This window comes from Homo sapiens, chromosome 10 (genome assembly GCF_000001405.40).
Source record: "Homo sapiens chromosome 10, GRCh38.p14 Primary Assembly".
In the NCBI taxonomy this organism is placed as follows: domain Eukaryota; kingdom Metazoa; phylum Chordata; class Mammalia; order Primates; family Hominidae; genus Homo; species Homo sapiens.
Genome location: NC_000010.11, coordinates 71,899,719 through 71,910,447, shown reverse-complemented (window position 1 = coordinate 71,910,447; position 10,729 = coordinate 71,899,719). Strand labels below are relative to the sequence as shown.

Sequence of the window (10,729 nt, the reverse complement as noted above, 5' to 3'; positions counted from 1 at the left end):
CCAGCCTTGACCTCCCAGGTTCAAGCGATTCTCCTACCTTAGCCTCCTGAGTGGCTGGGACTACAAGTGTGCTCCACTACTTCCAGTTAATTTTTTATATTTTCTGAAGAGATGGGGTTTTGCCATATTACCCAGGCTGGTCTTGAATGCCTGGGTTCAAGCAATCTGCCCACCTTGTCCTCCCAAAGTGCTGAGATTACAGATATGAGCTGCCATGCCTGGTCCATATGGTTTATCTTGACCAGCATTCCTTGGGTATTCTAGAAGAATGTGTATTCTACTGTTGGTGAGTATTGTGTTTTACATATTTCTGTCTCCTGCATGGCCAGCCCCACGTCAATTAGGTCTGAGTTCCAGGAGGAAGGAGACAGAAGACAAGTTTGCAGCCGTATCAGGAAAGCAAAGACTTTCCTGGGATTCCCCAGTAGCTTTCTTGGTCAAAATTGTGTCACATGGCCACTGCTAGCTGCAAGGGCTTGAGAAAAGGTGAGTTTGTAGTTGTCTAAGATCCTACCTGATCCAACTTGAATATGTGATGAGTGGCCCAACCCATAACACCTGCCACATTGTGTTAGTGAAACCACCTTTGCAAAATTATGACAGTGAGAGAACTCTGACAGAGTGGACTCCATCTTCCCTCTAACCTCCAAGCTGTCCTTGGTCATTCCTGGGCATAGGCCAAGCTGACTTTGGGAGGAATTTAGTTTTTAGCTTAAGGCAAGCATGGTAATAGCCCTTCCCAAAACTAAACCACCTTTGTAAAGCTAATAAAAGTCCACAAAGATAGGGTTATGAGAAGGGCCTGAACTCTGATAAGATGAAGGCGCAGTAAATTATTATCAGTATTGTTCCGGATGTCACAGATGTGTGACTTCCTCAGTTACTCCTATAAATAACAACACTCTTGTAGAACCGAAGATCGGCCTTTTGAGATGTCTTTTCAGACTTTTGCATTTCTGATGATCAACTGACCCCACCTGGACCACCGACTCGTGACTCAACTGGTCCTGTGGCCCCCACCCAGAGGACTTGGAGCACGAGGACAATTTTCCACACCCCTGTGATTTCACCCCAACCAATCAATATTCCTTCTCCCCCAGCCCCCTGCCCACCAAACTGTCCTTGAAAAACTCTAACCTCTGAGCCTTTGGGGACACTGATTTTAGTAATAACTCCGTCTTCCACGTAGCTACCTTCTTTCTCTACTGCAGTACCATGGTCTCAATGAATTGGTTTTGTTCGTACAGGAAGCAGGAGGAACCCATCGGCTAATCATATCTAAGTCACATCTAACCCTCACACCTTTGCACGTGTTGTTTCCTGTACTGGGAACACCTTTGTCTCTGCCATGAACATACCCAAACTTCAGGCTCATCCTAGATAGTACCTCCTCCATGAGGCCTTCCTGGCTCCCCAGTAATTTTTCTCTGTCTTTCTTTCTGTCTGTCTTTCTTCTTTCTTCCTTTCTTCCTTTCTGTCTTTTCTTTCTCTTTTCTTTCTTTTTTTTTTTTTTTTGACAGAGTTTTGCTCTTGTTGCCCAGGCTGGTGCAGTGGTGCAATCTCGGCTTACTGCAACCTCTGCCTCCCAGGTTCAAGTGATTCTCCTGCCTCAGGCTCTTGAGTTGCTGGGATTACAGGCACCCACCACCATGCCCAGCTTATTTTTGTATTTTTTAGTAGAGACAGGGTTTCACCATGTTGGCCAGGCTGGTCTTGAAATCCTGACCTCATGATCTGCCTGCATTGGCCTCCCAAAGTGTTGGGATTACAGGCGTGAGCCACGGGTCTCAAGAATAGCTTCTTTTTTTAATCTGGAGGCTTGCAGCCCTTTGTGCACACCTGTTCTTCTTCAATGAATACCTGTGTGCCCCCAACCCAGATTTCACCAATTCTTCACATTTTAGCATGTTTTCTCCCTCCCGTCCCCATCCTTTTAATCTCTGTCTCTGTGTCTCTATTTTCTTTTTCTTTTGTTTTTGTTTTTTGAGATGGAGTTTCCCTCTTGTTGCCCAGGCTGGAGTGCAATGGCATGATCTTTGCTCACTGCAACCTCCGCCTTCTGGGTTCAGGCGATTCTCCTGCCTCAGCCTCCCGAGCAGCTGGGATTACAGGCATGCACCACCATGCCCAGCTAATTTTTATATTTTTAGTAGAGACGGGGTTTCTCCATGTTGGTCAGGCTGGTCTCAAACTCCCGACCTCAGGTGATCCGCCTGCCTCGGCCTCCCAAAGTGCTGGGATTACAGGTGTGAGCCACTATGCCCAGCCTCTGTCTATTTTCTAATTTGAAAGTAACTTGCCAATCTCTTGGCCCTTCACCCATAAACACGAAGGTGTACGTCTCCTAAGAACAAAGATATCCTCCTACGGAATCACAGAATCATCATGACACCCGAGAATAACATTCATTCAAAAAGATCAGCAAACATGCAGTCTACAGGACATTCACATTTCTTCAACTTTTCCCTTAAATTGTCTTTTTTATTTCCTGATCCAGGATCCAATCAAATTTCCTGGCTACATTTGGTTGTTATGTCTCTCTGGTCTGGATTAGACTGAAACCATCTGCCAAGCCTGTGTGTTGTAGGGGTGACTTTGCTAGGTCTCAGGGCCCTTATTGATAGTCCCTCTGGCATACAAGATACTCAAGTTTTGGTTGTGATCGTTCCTGAGCACCTTAGTTTGGGTTTGTTACCTGGAAAAAAAAACCCAGGGGTTATCAATAGGCATTTTATTACTAGGTGTGAGTAAGGACGCTGGGAGGATTCTCTAAAGCAGTGCCTCTTCCAGGGAGAGTGACAGGAGGGTTTTATCGGGTGAGGAGAGGGGAGAGGTTGTGTGGTCGTGTGTACAGGCCAAGCCCCAGTGGCGTAGATGCAGTGAGCCATCACACCAGCACCTGGGCCGCATGCGATGGTGATGAAGCCATCTCTCCTCCTGAGTGGAGACCGTAGCAGGCTCATGAGGAGAGGTCACTTGGGTTCATCTGTAAGTTGAGGGCTCTGTCAGGAGCTGACTTTTTTTAATCTTGAGACAGAGTCTTGCTCTGTTGCTGAGGCTGGAGTGCAGTGGCGCAATCTCCGCTCACTGCAAACTGTCTCGCGGGTTCACGCCATTCTCCTGCCTCAGCCTCCCGAGTAACTGGGACTACAGGCGCCTGCCACCACGCCCGGCTAATTTTTTGTATTTTTAGTAGAGACAAGGTTTCACCGTGTTAGCCAGGATGGTCTTGATCTCCTGACCTCATGATCCGCCCGCCTCGGCCTCCCAGAGTGCTGGGATTACAGGCGTGAGCCACCGCGCCCAGCCTTTTTTTGGTGTGTGTGACAAGATCTTACTCTGTTGCCCAGGCTGGAATGCAGTGGCACCATCTTGGCTCACGGCAACCTCTGCCTCCCAGGCTCAAGGCTCAAACAATCCTCCCACCTAAGCCTCGCGAATAGCTGGAACTAATTAATTAGCCACCACACCCAGCTAATTTTTGTATTTTGTATTTTTATTTTTTGAGACAGAGTCTTGCTCTATCACCAGGCTGGAGTGCAGTGGCACGATCTTGGCTCACTGCAACCTTGAACCCCGCTTCCTGGGTTCAAGCAATTCTCCTGCGTGCCACTACACCCAGCTAATTTTTGTATTTTTAGTAGAGATGGGGTTTCACCTTGTTGGCCAGGGTGGTCTCGATCTCTTGACCTCAAGTGATCTGCCTTCCTCGGCCTCCCAAAGTGCCTGGATTACAGATGTCAGCCACTGTGCCCGGCCAATTTTTGTATCTTTTGTAGAGACAGGGTTTCACCATGTTCCCAGGCTGGTCTCAAACTCCTGGCCTCATGCGATCTGCCTGCCTTAGCCTCCCAAAGTGCTGGGATTACAGGCATGAGCCACCACGCCCGGCCAGGAGCTGATTTTAACCAAGTAGGCGAGTGCATTCCGCACGGGGTTTAGGAAGAAACAGGCTGCAGGTCAGGAGGCTATAAAACAAGTGGATTGTTCAGTTGATTAAATTCCTATGACCCTGGAGACCCTTACAGCTTCTGCTGGAAGCAGAGCCTCAGACAAGGACTTGGGTGCAAGAGTTTATCGGGGTCCTCCCAGGAAGCAGGGGTGAGGAAGGGAGGGGCTGCCACAGGGACAGTGGAAATGCTGACAAAAGGTGTGTGATTGAGGTTGCTTGTCTCATACAGAAGTCATCCCAGAATGGTCCATCCTGAACCCCTGGCTGGGGTCAAGCGATCCTCCTGCTTCAGCCTCCTGAGTAGCGCGATTGCAGGCACAAGGCATCACACCTGGCCCAGAATGGTCCATCTCAGGGTGGGAGGCTGGGGTTCCTCCCCTGGCTCCTCCCCGCACTGGCTGTGGATGGCCTGGAGGTCAGCTTCCCCACCCTACCAGGCTGTGCTTGCCCAGGGGCCCAGCAAGATTCTGCAGCTTTTGAGAAAGTCCTGGGACAGAGGAGTGGAGGGTCACAGAACGTAAGCTTTGAGGGATGAGCCACCATCAGCATCCATTTACAGCGGTCCACCACAACTGTGGCTGTCATCAGGGGCTGAAGGGGTGTGACAGGGCCATTAAAAGCATCTGCTTAGGTAGCCTTACCATCTAACTCAAGTAAAAGCTCTGGAAGGCACAGAGGAACAACGCTGTCTTGCCCTTCAAGGCTGGTGCTCACCTGGAGAAGGGCCCAGGCGTACACACGAGCCCTTGTTCTCTGTGGGTCTGTGTGCCCCAAATGGATTCAGGGCTCAGGAGAGGAGAGAAGGTATCCTATGCTTCTCTTTGGCCCTCCATCCTCCCGACAAAAGAGGAGGTACAGGTGAGCCCAATCGCACTGTGTTCAAGGAAGAGGTGCTCCCTGAGGGTTGACTGGGCTCCAGAAGGCAGGTGGGGAGGGTGTAGTGGCTGGGCTGGAAGGAGCTGAAGGCCAAGTCCAAAGGGAGGCAGCAGGGCCTTCTTGGTGGGAGAATCAGTACAGCAAGACAGCGCCTTTGGTGGCTAAAGGGTTCTTCCCTGAAGGAGTTGGAGCCAGAGAGGCCTGCCTAGCCTCCCAGGTCCTGAGAAATCTGGCCATGGTGATAGGCTGTTTTGTGTCTACTGTATTTATTTTCTGTTGCTGCTGTAACAAATAATCCCAAACTTTGTGGTTTAAAACAACATAAATTAATTGTCTTACAGTTCTAAAGACAAGAAGTGCAACACAGGTCTCACTGAGCTAAAATCCAGGTGTGGACAGGGCTGTGCTCCTGGAGGCTCTAGGGGAGAGGCCATTTTTTGGCCTTTTCCAAGTTCTAGAGGCTGCTCATGTTCCTTGGCCCACGGCCTCTTCTTCCATGTTCAAAGCCAGCAACTTCGCCTCTCTCCGACCACAGCTGGGAAGGGTTATCAGCTTTTAAGGACTTGTGTGATTAGTTTGGGCCCACCCAGTTAATCCAGTATTATCTCCACATCTTAAGTTCCTTCACCTTAATCACATCTGCAAAGCCCTTTGCCCCTGAGGTAACACAGTCCCCGGTTCTTGGGATGAGGAAGTGGAGCTCCCAGGATCCACACCTGCCTCCCTCGGCCTCCTCCCTGCCTGCTGGGGCTGATGTGTTTCCACCCGGGCAACCTTGGGCCTTGCAAAGAAGGGAAGAGCAGCTATTTTTTTTTTTTTTTTTGAGATGGAGTCTCGCTCTGTTGCCTAGGCCGGAGTGCAGTGGCACGATCTTGACTCACTGCAAGCTCTGCCTTCCAGGTTCACGCCATTCTCCTGCTTCAGCCTCCCGAGTAGCTGGTACTATAGGCGCCCGCCACCACGCCCAGCTAATTTTTTGTATTTTTAGTAGAGATGGGGTTTCACCGTGTTAGCCAGGATGGTCTCGATCTCCTGACCTCGTGATCCGCCCGCCTTAGCCTCCTGAGAGCAGCTATTTTTAAAGGCAGAAAACTTTTTACATCCAGGGCTGGGGAGCCTGGGGAGCAGGCACTCTCACCCTCTGTGCATGGGAGTGTAAATTTAGGAGAGTAAGTTGACAACAGGTACTAACATTTTAAATCCACTTCCCTCTGAATTAGCCATTCCACTTCCAGAAGTTGACCCTATAGAAATAAAGCGTGACAATGTCAGTTAGAGACTGATACAAATATATAGTTACAGGTGTAGATATTAATGTTTTCTGTAATCTTGTAATGCAGAAAACTGAAAATATGCAGCCATAAAAAAAGAATGAGATCAGCTGGGCGAGGTGCCTCATGCCTTTAATTCCAGCACTTTGGGAGGCCAAGGCAAGTGGATTACCTGAGGTTGGGAGTTCGAGACCAGCCTGACCAACATGGAGAAACCCTATCTCTACTAAAACTACAAAATTACCTGGGTGTGGTGGCGCATGCCTCTAATCCCAGCTACTCAGGAGACCGAGACAGGAGAATCGCTTGAACCTGGGAGGCGGAGTTTGCAGTGAGCTGAGATGGCACCATTGCACTGCAGCCTGGGGAAAAAGAGCGAAACTCTCTCTCTCAAAAAAAAAAAAAAAAAAAAAAAAGAATGAGATCATATCCTTTGCGGGAACATGGATGGAGCTAGAGGCCATTATCTCTAGGAAACTAAATCAGGAACAGAACAACAAATACTGCATGTTCTCACTTGTGAGTGGGAGCTAAATGATGAGAACACATACACACATGGAGGGGAACAACAGACACCGGGGCCTGCTAGAGGGTGGAGAGTGGGAGGAGGGAGAGGATCAGGAAAAAGTAAATACTGGGTACGAGGCTTAGTACCTGGGTCACGAAATAATCTGTACGCCAAACCCCTGTGACACGAGTTTACCAATATAACAAACCTGCACATGGACCCCAAACCGAAAATAAAGGTTTTTTAAAAATAAGAAAACTGAAAGTAACATCTATCTATATTTTTGTCTATGTTTATATGTATAGCTATATATCAATTGTGAACTGAGTGAATAAATTATGCTATGTCCATGCAATGAAATTCTATGCAGTCATTGGAAAAGGATAAGGTAAATCTATCAATACTGAGCTGAAAAAAATATCCATAGTATATTACTGAGTGTAAAAAATACAGATCAATATTAAGAGCATAATCCCATTGAAAAAATTTTTTTGAAATGGGGGTCTCACTGTGTTGCCCAGGCTGGTCTCAAACTCCTGAGCTTTAGTGGTCCTCCTGCCTCAGCCTCTCAAGTAGCTGGGACTACAGGTGTGCATCCCCACACCTGGCTCTATAATCCCATTTTTTTTTTCTGAGATGGAGTCTTGCTTGATCACCTAGGCTGGAGTGCAGTGGCATGATCTCTGCTCACTGCAACCTCCACCTCCCAGGTTCAAACCATTCTCCTGCCTCAGCCTCCCAAGTAGCTAGAATTACAGGCATGTGCCACCACACCCAGCTAATTTTTGTATTTTTAGTAGAGACAGGGTTTCACCATGTTGACCAGGCTGGTCTTGAACTCCTGACTGCAGGTGATCCACCCTCCTCGGCCTCCCAAAGTGTTGGGATTATAGGCATGAGCCACTGCGCCCGGCCTAATCCCATGTTTAAGAAGGAAAAAATGTATTATTCTGTAAACTATCTATACACTTACCCGTAAAGTGATGTCTACTTAAACTTGGGGAAAGTTTGGGAAGACTATGCCCCAAACCGGTAACAGAGGTTAGAATGTGGCAGGGGTGGGGGATGGGACGGTGGTGCTGGGAGCTGATGGGTAAAGATGGGCATTTCCCTTCTTACTGGACGATGTGTAGAGTGGTGGGATCTGGGGGTGATTTCTGAACTCTTTTTGTCTGTTTTTCAGCGTTAGAGAAAACATTAGGGATGCTTTGCCCGGACCATGGCATGCAGCCCAGCTGTGTGTCCAGGAGGGCATGTGAGGTGGGTGCTCATGTGGGGGCTGGGTCTTGGTCACACTGCATGGCTGACAGAGGCTCCATGTCCTGCACCATCTGGAAAGCAGGCGGAGGGGCCAGTCCAATGGGCCGTCAGCCTCTGCCCTACCAGCTTTAGGTGGGCCCTGAAATTGCTCCAAGGCACCTGAGGGACAGGACAGGAAGAGGGGTTCACGCCCCACTCTGCCCCAACATTTTCTGACAGTCACTCCATCCTCTCTGCCTCAGTCTCTCTCTCTTTAAACAGGAACCACATGGATTGCAAAGGCAAAGTTATGAAATATATACAATATGACCCTATAGTGTAAAACTATATATCAATTTTTATTTTTAATTATTATTATTATTTTTTGAGACAGAGTCTCGTTCTGTCACCCAGGCTGGAGCTCAGTGATGTGATCTCGGCTCACTGCAGCCTCTACCTCCTGGGTTCAAGTGATGCTCCTGCCGTGGCCTCCTGAGTAGCTGGGACTACAGATGTGCGCCACCATGCCCAGCTAATTTTTGTATTTTTAGTAGAGATGGCGTTTTGCCATATTGGCCAGGCTGGTCTTGAACTCTCGACCTCAGGTTATCTGCCTGCCTCAGCCTCCCAAAGTGCTGAGATTACAGGCATGAGCCACTGCACCTAGCACTTGAACCGGGGAGGCAGAGGCTGCAGTGATCCGAGATGGCACCATTGCACTCCAACCTGGGCAACAGAGCAAGAATCCATCTCAAAAAATAAAAAATAACAATAAAGCCAGGTACGGTGACTCATGCCTATAATCCCAGCACTTTGGGAGGCCGAGGTGGGCAGATCACCTGAGGTTGGGAGTTTGAGACCAGCCTGACCAACATGGAGAAACCCCGTCTCTACTAAAAAAAAACAAAAAACAAAAAACAAAAAAAAGTTAGCGAGGCTTGGTGGCACATGCCTGTAATCCCAGCCACTCGGGAGGCTGAGGCAGGAGAATCGCTTGAACCCAGGAGGCAAAGGTTGCGGTGAGCCGAGGTCATGCCATTGCACTCTAGCCTGGGCAACAGAAGCAAAACTCCGTCTTAAAAAATAAATAAATAAAATAAAATAAAATATAAAATAAAATGAATACACATGGAGAAAAAAAAAACTAGATGTCTATTTTCCAAGATATTCTCAATGGTTCTCTCTGAGGAGCAAGATTAGGGGCGACAGTTCTTTCTGCTTTCCAACAATGAACATTTAATTGATGCTATTGTTTTTCAGCTGTCTGATCCAAAGGAACTCACAGGGCTGCTGATTTGGGAAAATGTGTAAGGGGTTCTGCAAATGGCAGATGGAGGGAGGGAAGATGGGAATGGGGAGGGAAGATGGGAATGGGGAGGGAAGATGGGAATGGGGAGGGAAGATGGGAATGGGGAGGGAGAGAGGGAGGGCAAGCAGGGCAAACTGTAACAGCCACACATCTGCCGCCCCCCACCCCCCGTCATATTCAAGAAAAAGAGCAAATGACAAAATAATCTCAAGGGTATTCGAGGGACTTGTTCCCCAAAGCCACTTCCAGGGATGCCTGGGGATCGGGGACGGAGGGCATCTGTGCCATACCCTCCTTCCCCAGGCCGGCTGCACCCATCCACCACCCCAGGCTCAGCAGCTGCAGCGGATCATGGCCTCCACGGAGGACTGGCTAGCAAAGGGTTTGGGCCGAGTCCCCAGGAGTTGGTTTGCAAGAGCGCCTATGTCCCCCAGGCTACCATGCTGGGTCACTCTGTGCACACTACAGTAGCGTGACCACCTGTTCATGTCTGTGTCCAGATTCTCCACTAGACTGGAAAGCCTGGAAACAGAGCGAGAGTCCTGCTCCAGGCTACCTGCACAGTGTCCTGAACAGGCCTGGGCAACGACAGGCTCCCAAGAAGTGTTTGTTGAATGAATGCGTGATTCATACCCATTATCTGTCTCTGAGTGGTGACATGACTTGTTCAAGGTCACTCAAAATCACTCAGCCAGTTGGGGGGCAGGGCACATGACCTATTGAGACATCAGCTGGGGCAGCCAAGGGCATGCTGGCATCACCCCTCCCCTAACCCCAGGCTGCACAGCTCATGGCTCCAAAAGAGACCCCTTCCCTCCTCTTGAGGAGAGGAGAGGGGAAGAGTGGGGAGGACTTTTGTCTTGCATCTTGACTACCAGCTCAGCCACAGCAGGATAGGGCACTAGTCAGAGACCCCACTTCCAGGCCCTAGCTCCCAGATGACATTTCTATACACACCCTTGGCAGGAAGAGAACCTGTTGCCTTGAAGGGAAGGAGCCAGTCCTGGCAGCATTCACCCCCTGCTGACTGAAGAGCCCTTGGGCCCTGAATAACCAGCAGCGATGCCCAGGAGCTATGTCAAGGGCCTCAGTGAGCCTCTGAGACTTGCTGGCTTCAGGTGAGACTCAGCACATTCCCAGCTGTGGTGGCTGTGGGGTGAGGCTCCTTCCACTTGAGCAAAGCAGAGTGAAAAGTAAAGGGGACTTTGTCTTACACTTTAGGAACCAGCACAGCCACAGAGGGGTAGAGTGCCAAGTGGACTCTTGGGGTCCCCAATTCCAGGACTTGACTCTTGGGTGGCATTTCTGGGCCTACCCTGGGCCAGAGAGGAGCCCACTGCCCTGAAGGGTGAGTCCCAGCCATGCAGCATTCACCACAAGCTGACTGAAGAGCTTTTGGGCCTTAAGGGAACTCTGGCAGAACTCCCTGTGGGCCTGTGGTGGTGGTGGCCACGGGGTGAGGCTCCTCTGCCTTTAGAAAGGGGAGGGAACAGCGGGTAGGGCTGTGTCTTGTGATTTGAGTGCCAGCTCAGCCACAGTACAATAGAACACCAGGTAGACTTGTAAGATTTTGG

General features: G+C 49.4%; 2 annotated features.

Annotated features, from left to right (window-relative positions):
• Positions 656-885: an enhancer, noted in NCBI's record as "active region_3525". NCBI's record gives its function as "activates an Ori minimal core promoter by ATAC-STARR-seq in GM12878 lymphoblastoid cells {active_cell/tissue: GM12878}" and the evidence as "EXISTENCE:reporter gene assay evidence [ECO:0000049][PMID:35858748]".
• Positions 4,282-4,781: an enhancer, noted in NCBI's record as "H3K27ac hESC enhancer chr10:73665425-73665924 (GRCh37/hg19 assembly coordinates)". NCBI's record gives its function as "activates a minimal SCP1, AML or CMV promoter by ChIP-STARR-seq in primed H9 embryonic stem cells {active_cell/tissue: H9 hESC(primed)}" and the evidence as "EXISTENCE:reporter gene assay evidence [ECO:0000049][PMID:30033119]".